General features: G+C 44.5%; 1 protein-coding gene and 1 pseudogene across 6 annotated transcripts in view, besides 7 other annotated features; one reads left to right on the forward strand and one right to left on the reverse strand.

Moving 5' to 3' along the window:
• The window catches only part of PSMD5 (proteasome 26S subunit, non-ATPase 5), a 26,870-nt gene extending 20,303 nt beyond the window's left edge, over positions 1–6,567 (reverse strand). For both annotated transcript variants that reach the window (NM_001270427.2, NM_005047.4), the window contains exon 1: positions 6,382–6,567. In NM_001270427.2, the coding sequence (NP_001257356.1) occupies positions 6,382–6,554 (173 nt within the window). In that variant the 5' untranslated portion in view covers positions 6,555–6,567. The remainder of the gene's footprint in view (positions 1–6,381) is intronic.
• Positions 4,578–5,079: an enhancer, noted in NCBI's record as "H3K4me1 hESC enhancer chr9:123603211-123603712 (GRCh37/hg19 assembly coordinates)". NCBI's record gives its function as "activates a minimal SCP1, AML or CMV promoter by ChIP-STARR-seq in naive H9 embryonic stem cells {active_cell/tissue: H9 hESC(naive)}" and the evidence as "EXISTENCE:reporter gene assay evidence [ECO:0000049][PMID:30033119]".
• Positions 6,188–6,717: an enhancer, noted in NCBI's record as "H3K27ac-H3K4me1 hESC enhancer chr9:123604821-123605350 (GRCh37/hg19 assembly coordinates)". NCBI's record gives its function as "activates a minimal SCP1, AML or CMV promoter by ChIP-STARR-seq in primed H9 embryonic stem cells {active_cell/tissue: H9 hESC(primed)}" and the evidence as "EXISTENCE:reporter gene assay evidence [ECO:0000049][PMID:30033119]".
• Positions 6,188–6,830: a biological region, named in NCBI's record as "Sharpr-MPRA regulatory regions 2033 and 13781".
• Positions 6,289–6,588: an enhancer, noted in NCBI's record as "active region_28896". NCBI's record gives its function as "activates an Ori minimal core promoter by ATAC-STARR-seq in GM12878 lymphoblastoid cells {active_cell/tissue: GM12878}" and the evidence as "EXISTENCE:reporter gene assay evidence [ECO:0000049][PMID:35858748]".
• Positions 6,476–6,770: an enhancer, noted in NCBI's record as "tiled region #2033; HepG2 Activating DNase matched - State 1:Tss, and K562 Activating DNase unmatched - State 1:Tss". NCBI's record gives its function as "activates a minimal TATA promoter and a strong SV40 promoter by Sharpr-MPRA in HepG2 and K562 cells {active_cell/tissue: HepG2 | K562}" and the evidence as "EXISTENCE:reporter gene assay evidence [ECO:0000049][PMID:27701403]".
• Positions 6,536–6,830: an enhancer, noted in NCBI's record as "tiled region #13781; HepG2 Activating DNase unmatched - State 1:Tss, and K562 Activating DNase unmatched - State 1:Tss". NCBI's record gives its function as "activates a minimal TATA promoter and a strong SV40 promoter by Sharpr-MPRA in HepG2 and K562 cells {active_cell/tissue: HepG2 | K562}" and the evidence as "EXISTENCE:reporter gene assay evidence [ECO:0000049][PMID:27701403]".
• CUTALP (cutA divalent cation tolerance like, pseudogene) lies at positions 6,720–18,018 on the forward strand (annotated as a pseudogene). 4 transcript variants are annotated; one of them, NR_152406.1, is made up of 4 exons: positions 6,720–8,544; positions 8,638–8,841; positions 10,939–10,998; positions 14,883–18,018. The product of NR_152406.1 is annotated as a cutA divalent cation tolerance like, pseudogene, transcript variant 3 (transcript). The 4 variants fall into 4 exon arrangements; NR_024408.2 differs by having other exon boundaries at positions 6,720–7,084; NR_152405.1 differs by lacking the exon at positions 8,638–8,841 and having other exon boundaries at positions 6,720–7,084.
• Positions 6,789–7,138: an enhancer, noted in NCBI's record as "active region_28897". NCBI's record gives its function as "activates an Ori minimal core promoter by ATAC-STARR-seq in GM12878 lymphoblastoid cells {active_cell/tissue: GM12878}" and the evidence as "EXISTENCE:reporter gene assay evidence [ECO:0000049][PMID:35858748]".
• Positions 18,019–18,436: the final 418 nt, after the last annotated feature.

The raw sequence follows: 18,436 nt of genomic DNA on the forward strand, positions 1-18,436 counted from the left end.
TAATGTTGAATATCTTTCTACGTGCATATTTATCATCTGTACTTTTTTTTTTTTTTTTTGAGATGGAGTCTCGCTCTGTTGCCCAGGCTGGAGTGCGATGGCGTGATCTTGGCTCACTGCAACCTCCACCTCCTGGGTTCAAGTGATTCTCCTGCCTCAGCCTCCCGAGTAGCTGGGATCACAGGTGTCTGCCACCAAGCCCAGCTAATTTTTGTATTTTTAGTAGAGATGGGGTTTCACCAGGTTGGCCAGGCTGGCCTCGAATTCCTGACCTCAGGTGATCCACCTGCCTTGGCCTCCCAAAGTGCTGGGATTACAGGTGTGAGCCACCATGCCTGGCCCCATCTGTACTTCTTGTTCAAATCTTTGGCCCATGTTTTAATTGGGTTATTTATTTTCTTGCTATTTAGTTTTGAAAGCTCCTTACATATTCTGAAAAGAAGTCTTTTATCAGATATATTCTTCACAAAGATTTTTCTCCATTTGTGACTTTTCTTTTCATTCTCTTAACTGTATGTAACCTTCGAAGAACCGATTTTTTTTTTTTTTTTTGAGACTGAGTCTCACTCTGTTGCCCAGGCTAGAGTGCAGTGGTGCGATCTTGGCTCACTGCAACCTCTGCCTCCCAGGTTCAAGCGATTCTCCTGCCTCAGCCTCCCGAGTAGCTGGGACTACAGGTGCCTGCCACTATGCCTGGCTAATTTTTGGTATTTTTAGTAGAGATGGGGTTTCACTGTGTTAGCCAGGATGGTCTCTATCTCCTGACCTCGTGATCTGCCCACCTTGGCCTCCCAAAATGCTGGGATTACAGGCGTTAGCCACCGCGCCCAGCCAATTTTTGTATTTTTAGTAGAGACAGGGTTTCACCATGTTGGTCAGGCTGGTCTGAAACTCCTGACCTCATGATCCGCCCACCTCAGCCTTCCAAAGTGCTGGGATTACAGGCGTTAGCCACCACCTAGCCTGAAGAACCGAATGTTTAATTTTGATTAATTCTACTTTGTATCACTTTGTTCTTTTTTTTAGACAAGCTCTCTCTGTCACCCAGGCTGGTGTAGTGGAGCAATCACAGGTCACTGTAGCCTCCACCTCAGCCTCCTGAATAGCTGGGACCACAGGCATGAGCCACCACACCCAGCTCAATTTATTCTTGTATAGATCATGCTTTTGGTGTCATATTAAAGAAGTCTGTTTAACTCAAAGTCATACATTTTTTTTTCCTGTTTTCTTCTAGAAGTTTTGTAGTTTTAGGTTTTATATTTAGGTCTATGATCTACTCTCATACACTGCTGGTAGAAATGTAAAATACTATAACCACTTTGGAAAACAGTTTGCCAGTTGCTTAAAAAGTTAAATATACACCTACCATACCATCTAGCCATTTCATTCCTAGCTATTTACTCAAAGAGAAAAGAAAGAATATTTTTATGTAAAGACTTGTACATGAATGCTCACGGCACTGTCATTTGTAATATCTCCAAACAGAAAACAATTCAAATCTCAAATGTTCACCAACAGGGGAATGGATAAAAAACTGTAGTACATTCATACAATGGACTTACACTCAACAATAAAAAGGAATGAACTATTTATTCATGCCACATAGATAAATCTCAAAATAACTATGCTATGTGAAGGAAACCAAACAAAAGAATACATAATGTATGACTCCATTTGTATGATCCCTTCCCCCCATGTCTGGCCAAAATAAAGGGCAAGTTCATCTACAGTGAGAGAAAGCAGATCAGTGGTTGACTGGTTGAAACAGGGAGAGATTAGCAAGGGGTATGAGGGAGCCTCTGGGAGTGAAAGATACATTCACTATCTTAATTGTGGCGATGGTTTCATGGGTATATACATATGTCAAAACTTGCCAACTTGTACGTTTTATTAAGTGCAGTTCATTGTATATAAATTATACCTTTGAAAGCTGTTTAAAAAAAAGTAGTGGTACGTTAAACTGCACAGTGCACAAATTTCAGATCCTATGTGACCCTTCTTTGCCAACGAGCCAAAGAGTTAATGCTTAAAATTAGTCTTGTTTGATTTTCATGTTCTAAAGCAGTAATCTTAGGACTTAAACTCTCTCAAAAAAAACTGTCAAGATTCTAACTTACATCTGCAAGATCAGATTGTGAACCAACACACAACAACTTATGTGGTTTAGCCAGGATAACAGCAAAGTATCTGAAGACTGCCAGATACTATCCAGAGAATTATTCCCACAAGGTGCAGTTGGTATCTACTATGTATCCAGTTCTGAATTATTCTGTCTTTAAATTCCATTAAAATTGTTCCCTAAAGCACTGCTCCTTCATTCAGCAAACTATCTTCCCCATGGACCTGAATCCTCAAATTCTGCCTCACTTCAGTTCCTACTGCATCTCTGCTGTCAACTTGCGGTATGACCTCTGGAAGTCTCTTCATCTCTAATAGGAGAGGTTGGACAAGGTGGCCACTCTAAACTCTGTGAGTCTCAAATTTAATTGGGCGTATACTGCATTATGTGCTGGGCCCTAAGAGGGATGCAGACATGAACAAAATGCGGTCACTGCCTTCAAAGAATTTACAAACTGGAAATAGACACACAGAGAACTATAACATAGGTAATAGTGTCAATTATCATTAACAGAAATAACAATAATGTCCTTTAGCAGATCTAAGGAGCAGTCATTTGCAACTGGAATAATTGAGAAAAATATTTTGGAGGAGATGGCTCTTTAGTGGGCCTAAAAGGATGGACAGAATATGGACAGACAGCAAAGTATTTCAGTTAGAAAGGCTGGTATGAGTAAAGTTAGGAAAGTGCAAGTCAGGCTTAAGGAAAAATAAGGGTGCCACATGGTAGCTGGAGCAGATGAAAAGAAGTGGAGTGGAGGAAAAAAGTGAGGTTGGAAAAGTAGGATGGAAATATACTGTAAAGGGCCCAAATGGCATTCTAAAAACTCACTACAGGCAATGGGAAACCACGGAAAAGATTAGCACCAGCTGACTCGAGATGTATGCTCACTGGGGTTACAAGGTGGGAAGGAATTTGCTAGAAAAGGAATTTGCTAGAAAAGGAATTTCAGAGGTAAGGAGAAGTCAGACTAACACTACAGACCTAGCAATAGGGAAAAAATGAGGGCTTGAATTAAAGAGGAGACAAATAAGAGACATTTCATAGGCAGACCCAAATAATGTTAACTGATAGACATCATGAATGGAGAACACTTACAGAAAAGGAAGGAATCTTAGAAGGTCAGAGCCAAGAAAGCGCTCTGAAATCATCCACTGTTGATTCAGTGGTTCATAATCTTTTCAAGTAGTAAGGTCACTTGAAAGTCTTTGATCACAAACATTTCAAAACTCTTTTAAATGATCAAATTATCAAATACAAAGTGGTTTTTTTTTCCTTTTTTTCCCCAGAATCCAGGTAAGAATTATAAAATGTTTTTTTAATCTTTTTTTTTTTTTTTTTTTTTTTAGACAGAGTCTTGGCTGGGCGCAGTGGCTCATGCCTGTAATCCCAGCACTTTGGGAGGCCGAGGCAGGCAAGGCAGATCACTTGAGGTCAGGAGTTCGACACCAGCCTGGCCAACATGGTGAAACTGCATCTCTATTAAAAACACAAAAAATTAGCTGGGCGTTGTGGTGGTGGCACGTGCCTATAGTCCCAGCTACTCAGGAGGCTGAGGCAGGAGAATTGCTTCAACCTGGGAGGCGAGGTTACAGTGAGCTTACATCCTGCCACTGCACTCCAGCCTGGGCAACAGAACGAGAACCCGTCTCAAAAAAAAAAAAAAAAAAAAAAGGGCCTCACTCTGTCACCCAGGCTGGAGTGCAGTGGTGCAATCTTGGCTCACTGCAACCTCTGCCTCCTGGGCTCAAGGGATCCTCCCCCTCAGCCCTCTAAGTAGCTGGGACTATAGGCACGCACGCCCAGTTAATTTTTTGTTTTGTTTTGTAGAGACAGGGTTTCACCATGTTGCTCAGGCTGGTCTCAAACTCCAAAGCTCAAGCGATCCACCCGCCTCAGCCTCCCAAAGTGTTAGGATTACACGTGTGAGCCACTGCTCCCGGTCTACAAAGTGTTTTTATTATTATTATTATATTATTATTATTATCTTGAGATGGAGTCTCACTGTGTTGCCAGGCTGGAGTGCAGTGGTGCAATCTTGGCTCACTGCAACCTCCACCTCTCAGGTTCAAGTGATTGTCCTGCCTCAGCCTCCCAACTAGCTGGGACTACAGGTGTGCGCTACCAAGCCCAGCTAATTTTTGCTTTTTTTTTTTTTTTTTTGAGACGGAATCTCACTCTGTTGCCCAGGCTGAAGTGCAGTGGAGCGATCTCGTCTCACCGCAACCTCTGCCTCCCAGGTTCAAGAGATTCTCCTGCCTCAGCCTCCAGAGTAGCTGGGACTACAGGCACGTGCCACCATGCCCGGCTAATTTTTGTATTTTTAGTAGAGACAGGGTTTCACTATGTTGGCCGGGTTGGTCTCGAACTCTTGACCTTGTGATCCACCCGCCTCGGCCTCCCAAAGTGCTGGGATTACAGGCGTGAGCCACCGTGCCTGGCCTAACTTTTGTATTTTTAGTAGAGACGGAGTTTCACCATGTTGGCCAGGATGGTCTCGATCTCTTGACCTGGTGATCTGCCCGCCTCAGCCTCCCAAAGTGTTGGGAATACAGGCGTGAGCCACTGCACCGGGCCTACAAAGTGTTTTTAATCAAACACTACGGATGTGTAAAAAATCAAAAATAAAAGTTGTCCTACTATTTTCAGACCCACTTCCCTATTAATAGTTTCTGGTGTACCTTTGCAGATATTTGCAATGTTATACAAGTTTTACATGCCTGTGGGGGTTGGGAAGATTGTAATCCTTTTTAAAAATTACAGGTTAAAATTATAGATTGATATACCCTGCGATTTTCTTTTTCATTCAACAACACAGAGATTGGCCGGGCGCAGTGGCTCACGCCTGTAATCCCAGCACTTTGGGAGGCCGAGGCGGGCGGATCACGAGGTCCGTAGATCGAGACCATCCTGGCTAACATGGTGAAACCCCGTCTCTACTAAAAATACAAAAAATTAGCCGGGCGTGGTGGCGGGCGCCTGTAGTCCCAGGTACTCGGCAGGCTGAGGCAGGAGAATGGCGTGAATCAGGGAGGCGGAGGTTGCAGTGAGCCGAGATCGCGCCACTGCACTCCAACCTGGGAGACAGAGCGAGACTCGTCTGAAAACAAACAAACAAACAAAACAAAACAAAACAAAACACAGAGATCTTTCCATGTCCACATACATATATATACATCTACCTCAATAACTTAAATAACTGCACAGTGTTACAGAGTAATAGCGCATAATTTGGAATCCTCTGTTAACGGATATTTAGATTGTTTCTAGTGTTCTGGTGCCACACACGATATGTTATATTCTTGCATATAATGTTGTAGGGTCCTCCAGTCGCCCCCTTTCTTTCTCTGTCCTGATGGAAAATCAGAGTGCCTTGATTGCTCTCTGACCTAGCCAGCGGCAGGTTTCCCTAGCAGGCTTGACCATAAACCAGGGGCCTTGAACATTCACAGGCCTGATAAAGGTACCTAGGTTGTTGCCCAAAACACTGGAAGAAACTGGCCTCAACCCTGAGCCAAATTCCTTTAAACTCTCATCTGAACTCCATACCCTGACCCCCTCACTGCGGACATACCCAGGAACACCTTTCTCCCGGTGTCCGTCTTGACAATTTCTGCAGCCCTCTGCAGGTTTCCCCCTAAACGCTTTTGGACTGATCGCCTTGGCATTCAGTGCTTCTTTTTCTGTCATCCCAACCAGCCACATCTCGGGAAGGTTTGAAGCACTCCCTCGTGGGAACTCTCTTGCCGCTGCTTTTGGGGCGATTCCAGCCTCGGGTTCGAAAGAACAAAGTAACTGCACATTTTGTGCGCGTATACTTGCATTAAATTTTTTTAACAAGAATGACTGGATGAAAAAGCATGTGAATTTAAAATGCTGATGGTTCTTGCCACATTGCCAGGATAGGATCCTTTTAGAAGGGGAAACAAATCAAGAACCTGTACAAAGAGATGTGGAATGCTCCTTGTAAGTGGACAGCTTTGCTTTCCTCCTTTAATTTCTATTTGATGAAGAAGGCAGTGCCTCACTGCTCAGAGGCAGCGAGGCCAGGCGACGGGAGAAAACACCCTGGGGCACTCTCAGAGGCTGAACCTGAACCCCATCTCCTGCCTCTGAACCCAGGATCCTTCCTTCTCTGCAAATTTCGGCTACTTTCCACCTCCCCTGTGACTGGGAAAAGCGCTGTTCTTGCCCTCAACCACTCTCATGTCCATATTTAGGGGTGCCCCTCTCCTCGGCTCAAGCCCCCGGGGTCCTCTCACCTATGGTTCTCGTTAAGCAGGGAGAAGAGCGGGCCGAGGCGCAGCTCCGCCGCTTGCTGGCGAAGCTCGTTGAGCGGCACTGCCTGCAGCACGGAGTGAAGCGCGCGTAGCTCCTCCAGCGGCGCTTCCAGCCTCGCTACCTCTCTCAGCAGCGCCAAAGCCTGGGCTGCCATCTTGCCCCCCGACGCAGGGGCTGGCCCAGCGGCCCAGTTCCCGGGGCGCTTTCCTGAACCTCGCGAGATCTGATCACAGCCTCCTTGTCCCTGAGATGGCTATGGGGCTGCCAAGCCTCGCGAGAAGCCTCCGTTAGGGCCGTGTCAACTGTAGCCAGTGGTTGCGGCTCCCTCAGTCTGGCGTCATCTAGGTCGCTGCTCAGGGAAATGCGGAGGCCAGTAGGCTTACGTGTTTACCGCGTAGGGCAAAGCCTTGCCAAATTCCCGGCCAGCGGAGCGGCGAGGGTGGGGACTCACGGGAAGTTAAACAGCCTCGTCGGCGTCCTCGAGGCTCCAAAACCAGGCTCTAGGCGGGGACGACTGCAGCCGTTATGGAGGCCACCGCGGCTACGGCCGCGGCTGAGGCCTCCCCAGGTGGAGCGGTGGCCTGGAGGGGAATCTTGATCCTGGGCCAGCCACCTGTCAAGAGGAGGCGGAGCGTCATGCCTCTGGAAGACTGGATGAATATTCTCCAGGAGCCTGACGAAGGCGTGAGTAATAGGGACGTGCGCCGCCTTGTTGGTGTTGATCAGTCCACCAAGGAGAAGCAGCTGGTCGCAGTGGCCGTACCTGTAATCCCAGCGCTTTGGGAGGCCGCGGCGGGAGGATCGCTTGAGCCCGGGAGTTCGAGACCAGCCTGGGCAACATAGTGAGAAACCCGTCTCTACCAAAAAGAAAAAAAAAAAAAAAGGAAAAAAATTAGTGCGGTGTGGTGGCACGCACCTGTAGTCCCAGCTACTCGGGAGGCTGAAGCGGGAGGGTCCCCTAAGTCTAGGAGGTCGAGGCTTCAGTGAGCGGTGATTGTGCCACTGCACTCCAGCCTGGGCGACAGAGCAAGACCCTGCTTTCCCCTCTTGTCCTCCACTACCCTCAGGAAACCAAGAAAGACCAGCGTGGAGAGTTGGTCGCCCATCTGCTCTAAGCTGCTGTGTATTCCCCTGTAATGTAAACATCGTGAAGGTGGAGACCCAGTTAACCTTTTAGGTGGAAGGCCAGATGACAGAGGGCGGCATCTGACCCGGAAGGCCCTCTGCAACCAGGCCAAATACATCTACAGGGAACCAATGGGAAACATCTGGGGAGGACAACCCAAATAAGTATCATGCGAGCAAGGGATGGTTTGAGAACTTTAAAAATCGCTGCTGTTTTGCAACATACGAAGTTGATGGGGAGGAAGGACCCTTAAATCCTGAGTGGGTATCGAGTATTCCAAGCAACTGGAGAGAGGCTTTGTGCCTCAACAGGTCTTCAACGCCAAGGAGATGACCCATCTTTTGCAGTGCATGCCTTCCTACTTTTGGGGCAAAAGACAAAAATCTGGAAAGCTTAGAGGAAGCTAAGGACAGGATTTCCCTCATTTTTTTGTGGCAGTGCCTCAGGTGACAAAATGATAAAACCACTGCTGCTTTACAAAGACTCTAACACCCCACTTGTCTTTTAGAGATAAACGCCTTCCTGTTTTCTTGTAATCACACCCAGAATCACCACTGCCACTTTTTGGATTAGTTTTACAATTTTTTTATCCATCAAATCCGAAGTCATTTAACAAAAAAAATCTGGAAATCAGAATGTTGCTAACTGTGGACAGAGGTCCCAATCACCCAGATTCATTATTCTTTGTTCATTCTAATGTTGATACTGTGTTTCTCCCTCAGGAAGGCCCTAGCTTTCTTCAGCCCTTGGGTCAGGGTATAACTGAAGCATTTGAACATAATCAAGCATATGTTTGACCACTTTGCTGACTGTATTGAAAAAACCCTCACCTTACTCTGAAAGAAGCATGGCAACAGTACAATATTGCCGATGCTTTGGTAGTGATAAAAGAGGTGATGGGTGATATAAAATCAGCCACTCTTAAGCTTGCTGGAAACTGTGGGAGGATGTGTGAATGATGCATATTTCCCTAGAGCTAATGAAGAAGTTAAAAAAAATCTTAGTGTCTGCAAAACAGGTGGGTTTAAGATTTATTGATATTAGGGAAAGTGAAATTAATGAGCTACTCAAGTTTCTGTCTTTGGTCATCACTGAGAGTCTATTTCCATAGGAAGAAGTCTTTGCAGAGGAAATTGAATGCTGTCTGATGCTACAATTCATATGGATCCTTTCCTGGATTGAAGCCTGACTTTTAAAAAAGGTTTCAATAAATTGCTTATACCTATGAAGAGATGCAAAAGAACCTTCAAAATAAAGCAAAGGACTTGAAGAAAGAGAAGGAAGACATGAAGAAGAGGATGTCATTTAGGTGAAGGTGATGGATACAGAATCTGAGTCTGAGGGGAGCCTGGTTGACAGAGAGACAAAAAAAGAAATTTTTTTTTTCTGACTAAAAAAAAAAAGGAAATTTTGTTAACAAAATCAAGAATTTAAAAAAAATGCTGTGAGAGCTGATCTATGCATCTGGTTTGTGAGCCAGTATTCTGTGATGGCTGCAGTTTTTAGAGATCCTAGTAGCTCTACACATCTGTCTTCTGCTTTCCTAGAACCTGGGCACCCCATGGATGACTCACTGCTGGTTTTGTGTGTGTGTGTGTGTGATTTAAAATTACATTCAGTCAACTCTATAGCCCTATGGGCTTTTTGAATAACCAAATGCTCAACAGTTCTGTAATCTTTCAGGTTGCTGTGATCAGTCCCCAAGGAGTCTACACTCTCAAAGAGACTGGGAAAGGCCTGTGAGACAATGGGATTCTTTTTTCTAGAGGTGTAACTCTGCCTGTGTTTGCATGCCACCTCCAGAACCACTAAAATATAATTTCTCAGTGGGTGACTGAGTAAGACTGGCAGCAATTGCAAAAGCAGATTCATGCCATGTGTCACTCTTCACAGTCAGGAACTTATTTACCTCTTGGAACTTTCCAAAGGAACGATGATGGTGGCGGTAATGTCACATTAGTATGGAGCCCTTAAATTCAGCAGTGTTCAACCTGAGGGAAGACAGAGTAGGTCAATTCTCTTGGCAGCAGCTGAGGGAAGGAGAGAGCAGGGAGCAGGGCTCAGATAAGGTTTGTTTGGCAGGGTCCAAGCACTTCATGGAATGGAGACCTTTGGCTGTCAGAGATCTGAGGAAGATTTGTCAGGGCCTGCTACACTCTGAGGGCTTGCAGTTTGGATGGTTGGGAACACTTCTTCCTTGCACTGATGGTGCTCCTATTTCTATGACACGTGTACTAGTTCAGACACAATTTATTGTGTTCACCAATTCTATGCACAGCAATCAGACTGAGATTGAAATCCAGTATAATATTAAAGGTGATCTGGGCCAGGCGCAGTGGCTCATACTTGTAATCCCAGCACTTTGGGACGCTGAGTTAGGGGGATCACTTGAGGCCAGGAGTTTGGGACCAGCCTGGGCCAGAAAATGAGACCCCATCTGTAAAAAAAAATTTTTTTTAGGTTAGCCAGGCATGGTGGTGCATGCTTGTAGTCCTAGCTACTTGGGACACTAAAGTGGGAGGATTGCATGAGCCCAGGAGTTCGAGGCTGTAGTGAGCTAAGATTGTGCCTCTGCACTCCAGCCTGGGTGACAGAGCAAGACTCTGTCTCTAAAACACACACACAAACAACATCTGACAAGGCATTTCAGCCTGGAGTCAGTCAAAAAATCTTAGAGGTCTGTAAAGGAGATGACTATGCTGTTAGGGCTGTGGTAGAAACCTTTAATAACAAGTGAAAAGAGCTTGTATTTGCCAAAATGAACACAGGATATGATTCTTTTTTTGCTTTTGCTTTGGAGTTGTATCAGCTCTGTGCGGTCACATGGGTATCTACAAATCAAAGCACCCATCAACCAGATGCATCTCTGAGAGTTAACAGCAGAAGGTGGCATAATAAAAGAAGTTCTCGGTAGTGAAAAAGGTTGGAAACCACCAGCTAAACCAATCCTCTTGTACCAATAGGAGATTCAAGTTGAGAGGTGGGAAAGGGCCTATCTCAGAGTAGGTGCTTGAATACTTCTTACTAGAATGAAAGAAGGAACTTAAGATCACACAGCCATGTTACTGCAGGACGGGGAATGGAACCTAGGTCTTCTTATTTTTGGTTCAGTGTTAACTCCCATTCTCTAAGCAGACTGGGCCTGTTATTCAAACTGCCTTCCCATAGGTGCTTCCCTGCTTCTCTCCTCACCCAGAGAAGGACTTACAAACAGCTTATCTTCAGAGGTTTTGTGCCTGATAGTTATGGAATGTGCTGGTTTGAGCAGGGAGGATGTAAGGGGAGGGAATGCTAAAAGCCTGTCTACTTAGAGTCAGGTTTCCTGGGTAAGTCCCTGGAACCCCATCCCCTTCCCCTTTCTTGAGACCCCAGGACTTGCTCCAGTAACTGCCACCCTGTGCCTTTGCTTCAGGGCCATGCTGGATAAGGAGCTGGCTGCCTCTGTGAACATCCTACTCAAGGCATCTTCACTGTGAGTTTTGCTGTTGCCATTGGAGGGGGAGTGGGGGGAGTGTGGGGAGTGCTAGGGTCAGGTCCTGGCTGGTGTAAAGAACACTGAATTAAAGGAATTGTCAGAATAACTCAAAGGCATTTAGATAATCAACAGTCCATTTCAGTGTTTTTATTCAGAGATCGATCGATCAGTGGGATGTTGTCCAACAAAAGCAAAAATAGACTGTATAGAGAAGGAAGGAAAAACTGCATAATTTAGGAACAGTATATCTTGTTTGCACATTCTTTGGTTAAATCAATTAGCCTGCTGTTAGGAAGGAAGTCTGGGCATTTTATCCTTGAGTAAACCAACTAGGGATATCAGAGAAAACAGTTTCCAATGCTTTTGGATTCTCCAGAAAACAGACAGTTTAGCATATATGACAGGCTGCTTCTGCGTATTGTCTACCTTTCATTTCATTAACAACTTCACTTTAGAAGCCTGGTCTGCACCATTTCCCTCATCACAATACTTTAGCATCCTGGCACTAGCTGTGCAGGATTTGTCGTACGTCTTCCTTTCCCTGATGATCATGTTTCTCATTTCCTTCCCTCTCTCCCTTACACCCTCAAAAGAGAGAGACATAATATACATTCTCAAGGTCATATAAGCTATATAATGAAAGCTACCTTTTTCTCCCCAGTGATGTTATTTCCTCAGTGGCTCACACCATCTGTAGTCATAGTTCCCAAATTTGGCCATGCGGTCTATCCCTGAACTCCAGCCTCAATCTATTCAATTAGTCGCCCTGAGGATGGGGCCCAGGTCTCTGAATTTTTAAAGACTTGTATAGATAAGTCACATTTAGCCAGTCTGGGAACCAGTGTTGGGAAATTGAATAGAATTTCATCCTACTATTTCCTTTATATGCCCATCCTTTCTCGTGATGTATTATTTTGCCACAGTCCTGTGACACAGGAAGGGCCAGTGGCCTTGGTCATCTTAGATTTGCCCTTGTTGATCTTCTCAGGGTAAATGTCTTTCCTTTCCCCTGATGGTGTTCTTATACTGTCTTCTGATCATCATTTCTGACTTTGTTTTCAGCATCTAAAAGTTTCCATAACTATAAGGCTTACTTCTTCCCTGCAGTCTTCCGTGTTTTTAGTTATTCATTTATGGGCACTCTCCTTGGAAAGTCAGTGATCAAAATAGCACTAGTGTGTAGGATGAGCACTGGAAGAGCTCAAGCAGAGAAGACATAGGAGTTTCTGCAGGGCTGTCCTGGGGTGGTTCTTGATGAGGCCAGTTGGGGAAAAAGCTAGGTGGCAGATGTTGGCACACTATAAGAAAAAGCATCTTGTGAAAACCTTTAAGTTAGATGGACTTCATCAAGAGATGATGAACCTCCCACCTCCAGGAATGTTCAGGCAAATGCCAGATGCATGCATTGGAATCGTTGGACCAGATGACATGTGAGGCCTTGGTCAACTCTAGACTTGTTTATATAGGCTTGGAAAGATTTTAAAGTTTTCTCCTCAGTAGGTCACTTAGGTGGGCCAGGTTTGACACTTCACTGAGCTCCTCTTAGGAGCATCATAATTTGGTTTTGTTCCCTTCTCCAGGTACTTTTGGGAGGGAAAAATAGAAGCCACTAACATCCTGTTAGTGAGGATGTGAGTGTAGGGAGTCTTTTTTTTTTTCTTTTTTTTTTGAGACGGAGTCTCACTCTGTTGTCCAGGCTGGAATGCAGCGGCATGATCTCAGCTCACTACAGCCTCTGTGTCCCGGGTTAAAGCGATTCTCCTGTTTCAGCCTCCCAAGTAGTTGGGATTACAGGTGCCCGCCACCATGCCCGGCTTATTATTTTTTTTGTCTTTATTTTTTGGTAGAGACAGAGTTTTGCTATGTTGGCCAGGCTGGTCTTCAACTCCTGGACTCAAGTGATCCACCTGCCTCGCCCTCCTACAGTGCTGGGATATAGGCATGAGCCACCACACCCAGCCTGTTGTTTGTTTTTTCTTTTCTTTTCTTTTTTTTTTTTTTAACCATTAGTGCAAATGTCAACATAGTAAAAGGATAAATAATAAAATAATATTGTTATGAAAGTAGTTTTGACCCCATGGACCCCCTAGAGTCCTGGAGATCCCCATGGGTCAGTGGACCTTCACTTTGAGAACCTCTAGTATAAACCTTTATCATTCAGAAGTGGAATTTTTGGAATTGGCATCACCTGGGAGCTTTCAAGAACTGTAGAATCTCCTGCTCACCCCAGACCTACCGAATCAAATTATAGTTTAACAAGACCCCCAGGGGATTTCTGTGCACATTAAATCTTGAGAAGCACTGGTCTAAACCAGTGTTTCTCACCGCTGGCTGCTATGTATTAGCATCACTTGGAAACATTTTTCAAACTACCAATTTAGGCCCCACCTCACAGATTTCGACTTAATTTGGCCAGGGCGGGGATCAAGTATAGTGGTACTAAAAAGCACCTTTCTTTTTAGATGACTCTAACGTGGTCACCTGAACCTTCTGAGGTTGACTCTAACGTAGGGCCAGAGATGCAAACCACCTATATGGATGATGAAACCTTTTCTTTACTCCTTAGGGAACTAAGATTCTGTGAATACACCGTTCCCCTGGGTCTCAAACTAGCTCTAGAGGAGGCCCTCATGATACCACCTCAGCAGAGGTGAGAGAGTAAGGAACCATTGGTAGAGCCAGTACTGTGGAGAAATTAAAATTTAACTGGTGAGGGACAGCTTCAGGGTTAAGAGAGTTGGACCTCCTACCTTGAAACCTGGCTCCCCACCTGCCACTGTTCCATAGTGCTTGGAAAATATGAATATTTTATGTGCCTCAGTTGCCCCTTCTGTAAAATTGGGATTATACTAATGGGTTGTTATGCATATGGAAATTAATATGTGAAACCTGTACATGAAATGCTTTATCAGTCTCAGCTCTTATTCCTAATGTGTTAAAAATGTCTTTGAATTCTGTATGTCTGCTTATAAAAACACATAAGTTAACAAAATTCATTATCCTCAGGCACCCAACGTACAGAATATTTAAGCATACATTTGAAGCAACATGTGAATGTATACATATGCTGTGATTTATTAAGCATGTTACGGGAACTTTAAAACACCTCATTCAGCAGAAAGGAGGCAGAGGATTATAATCCTCATTTGACAGATGGGACACTGAGGCCCAAGTCCTCATGTTCCTTCAGTCTAGAAAGTGAAGAGAACTTGCACTGTGTGACAAGGGCCAGGCGAAAGACACAGGAGAGGAAGATAGATTCCTGTAGACCTTGTTTGTCAGGGAAGATCCCTTGGGAAAGGTCAGTGGTTGAATTGGACCTTGAGGGACAGAGAAGTTTTTTTTTTTTTAAGCAAGAATAGGCTTTTGATTGATCAGCAGGAGCAGGTGGAATCTAGGTGGGCAAAAGAATACAGAGATACTGGGGGAGGGGGGATTGTTTTGGGAAGTGATGTGTATAGGATAATAATAAAAAGAGTAGCTCACATGTAATGAATGCATACAGTGCCAGCTGGTATACTGGGTAAGTGCTTTGTATACCTTGTGTTAATTAATCCTCAGCAGTCCAGTCATGTAGGGCCTTTTTTTTTTTTTTAAAAATAGGAGCATTTAAAGAAAACTAAGTGACTTGTCCATAGTCAGACAGCTAGTAGGGGCAAAGTTAGAATTTGAACCCATGTCTGTGAGACTCTAAAGCTATCTGGCCTAACTGGCCACTTATTGACAGATGGGAAACATAGGCTAGGGAGTGACAGGCCGTGGGCCTGGACAGGTGGGGTGCGGCAGGTTGCAGAGGGCCTCCCTTGAGGCTGGCCAGTTGGGTTTTATCACGAGTTGATTCTAATCATAGTCACTTATAGGGCTTTGCTTTCTCTCCAAAGGCTGTACATCCTTTTGAAATCCCAGAGATCTTCAGTCTCCCTGTGGATTAAGGAGATGTGCAGTATTTAAAGTGGCTTCAGGAAGGCATGGAAGAGGACTGAGTGGGGAAAGCTTTTTGTGCATGCTGCTGGCTACCTCCAGCGGCTGCCTCCAGCCTCCATCAGCTGCACTCTGGGGAAGAGGAGGCTGCCTTCTACCTCCCAGCATCTCTGGATTTCATGTTCCTGTCAGCACAGAGGAGCTAAATGGCCTGTAGAGGCTGAAGGTCTGAGGCTCCTAAAGCTGGAAGAAAAGGCTGGGCCAGTCAGGCCAAGCAAGAACACAGTGTAACTTGTCTCTGAGTGCTTCATGGTTAAGGGGGCTAAGCAGGCACAAGGGCATGAGGATGGTTATATGTACAGACTGAGGGGAAGAAGCAGTGAAGATGAGACTTGCCATCTTCTTGAGTCAGTAGGCCTGCCTCAGGTGCCTAGGATGTAATTGCTCTGCTGCTTCTCATGGGGAGGAGTGGCCCTCATGACCTTGTTTACCTGGAAGAGTGTGGGATGAATGCCTCCTCCTATGGGGACTCGCAAGTGCTTTAGCAAAAGGATAAATTGCTAATTGTGGCATTTCGTGGATCAGCAGGATTATTTCTCCTTGCTAAAGAGGATTTTGTTGGTCCTGAATTCTGAGGAGGTGGGACTAGGAATGGGCTCCATGAGCCTGTGTATGACTCAGGGAATATTAGGACTTTGGCACAGCCTCATGGGTTGGGAGTAAGTCTTGGCTCTTCCCTAGCCTGAATGACAGACATCAGATCATTCTGGTGCTTTGTCCATGAAGATGTAGATTCTGAGCCCACCCAACTAATCTTTTCACTTGAGCACAGAAACAGCCCCGGGAATCGGACAGACCCGTGTCTTTCAGGTTTGCTTCACAGAGCCCCAGGGGTTGACAATAGGTGCCTTGGAGACTGCCTGCATGGGGATTTTTAAAAAGCTTTCTTTGTTAAAGGTTTGTAAACCACTCCTCTGAGCCTGTTTTCATTTTATAGATTATTCAGGGAACTGAACTGCACAGAGATCCAGAAAGTGGGTAGTGCAGGCTGTAGTGCTGATAACTACTGTACTACTTGGATCTTTGTGCTCCCAAATACCAAATGGAAGAGGATCTCTGAGAGTCCTTTGCAAAGATCTTGTAGGGACTTTAGGCTGGGGCCTTCGGAAAATTCCAGAGGATTCCAATGGAGATTTTGAGGGACTGACTCAGAAGAACAAAGAGAATGATAATGGTGATGTCCCTGCTTTTTACAACAGATCATGTTCTGATATATATGCAAATCTGTGTAAAGTAAACCCTACCTAAAATGTACTGGGGACCCAAGATGGACTGCCTGTATTGCTTCCAGGATAAAGTCCAATTTCTAGCTCTGGTTTTTATAACCTTGCTTCAGCTCACCTTTTCCGTCATCATCCCCTCCATCTCCTCTCCCACGCTGGGAAATGGATGGCTGCACTATACTGTGTGATGTTATTGCTATGTTCATGCCATCCCCTCTGCCTGGAATGCCCTTCTGCATGAATGCCTGTGAAATGTTGTTGCTCCTTTGTATGGCCTGGCTTCCGTGGTTGGCAGGAATCTCTTCTTTCGTGGTATTCCTGTCATCTTTGTGCATCACAGTCAGCTTTGTATTCCTAGCTTGTAAGCTACTTGAGGATAGGGGCATGTCTGAATCTATTTAATCTCTTGCACCTGTTTGGCAAATTGATGTTTTAAGTATTTAAATAACTAAAGCTCTCTCTACAGTACATACTCACTTTTGATTTATGAATTGGCAAAATTCAACTTTTTTCCTTGAATATTCTTAAAGTGAGATGAATTCCAAAGGAGAGTGTTCTGTGTGTGGCCTTCATTGAGTGGTTTTCTGTTACCAGAAAGCTCTTGGTGGCCTTCCTCTTCCCTGGTGTCAAGGTTGACTGTTATAGGAAATGGGAGGGGAGAGGGCCGTTTCTGCCACGCATTGTCCTAGGTTCTTAACATTATTTAATCCTTATAATGCAATGTTATCCTCATTTTACAGATGAAACCTGAGACCAAAGAACATGTAACACATAAAGTACATTGCAGAGTTAGGATGTGAACCCAACTCTGATTCTAAACCTAATGCTCTCACTCTTTCATTCAGAGGTTCAGTCAGTTCTTTGTAGGCTGTAGATCCAGAGAAGCTGCCGTAGCCAACAATGAAGTTGTTAGTTTTTAAAACATCTATGTGGTAAGTTGGTCTGGCACTTAAAAATGTATTGTTTCCCAGGCACGGTGGTTCACACCTGTAATCCCAGCATTTTGGGAGGCCGAGGCAGGCGGATCATTAGGTCAAAAGATTGAGACCATCCTGACCAACATGGTGAAACCCCGTCTCTACTAAAAGTACAAAAATTAGCTGGGTGTGGTGGCGCATGCCTCTAGTCCCAGCTACCTGGGAGGCTGAGGCAGGAGAATTGCTTGAACCCAGGAGGCAGAGGTTGCAGTGAGCCAAGATCATGCTACTGCACTACAGCCTGGCAACAAAGCGAGACTCTGTCTAAAATATATATATATATATATATTGTTTACTACTCACCACAGATCTGCAGGAGTTCACTGATCTCTAGGATCTGCCTTAACTCCAACTTACATGTTTTGGTCACTATTACAAACTGTCATCCCAGAATGATGCTGCAGAGGCTAGGGCTAGGACACAGACCAGTGTTTCCATGTGGGAATTCCCTCCCAGTATTTCTTAGGAAATGTATGTTTTTTGAATCCATAATCCCTAGAAAAATCAGTTGAGGAAATGAGAAGTATTGTAATTATTCTGTGAATAGTAACACTTACCATTATGGAGACATCACTAGTTTGAAAGAATCCAACTTCATCAAATATTAACGTACCGAGTTGAAGGCTACAAGAACTGAGACAGGAGCATAGCAGAGAGAAACGGTCACCATCTCATTAGCCCTATTTTTGGTTGTTGTGATGCCATTACATCTGTATATCTGGCCATATCAGCTGCTAATGGTGAGTTCTTGCAAACAAAATGATTTGATAAACAACCTACCATACTTTATACAAATCTTATGGTGTTCCGAGAAATAAACTTTGGAAGCAAAATAAGTTAACAGTCTGGACACGATTGATTCTATATTCTGTTTACCTTGCTCTAGGCTATTCAAATGTTATATTTATTTGAACACTATCCAATATATGTTCCCTGGCATCTTCCTGTCTTTTAAATATTCTCTGTACGCTACAGTTCTTTGTAAGTAAAAATAAGCTTAATATGTCTACTTAGCAAACAAAGTTTTTCCAGATACCTATAATAATGAGGAAAACAGTATAAAGAATGAAGTATTTGAAGAATAACTTATAATTTGGGGGATTTCTGAGAATTCTACTTCTTTGTCCCTAATTTCCGAAGGTAAATGTTTGTTGTGAATTTGGAAACACTAGACTACAGAAAAGCAGGCACTCTCTAGCCTGGGAGGCCCACTGATCTTAGGAGGGTCCATATAGCTGCTTATTGCAGACCTTG

The sequence above is a fragment of the Homo sapiens genome, chromosome 9, assembly GCF_000001405.40.
Source record: "Homo sapiens chromosome 9, GRCh38.p14 Primary Assembly".
NCBI lineage: Eukaryota > Metazoa > Chordata > Mammalia > Primates > Hominidae > Homo > Homo sapiens.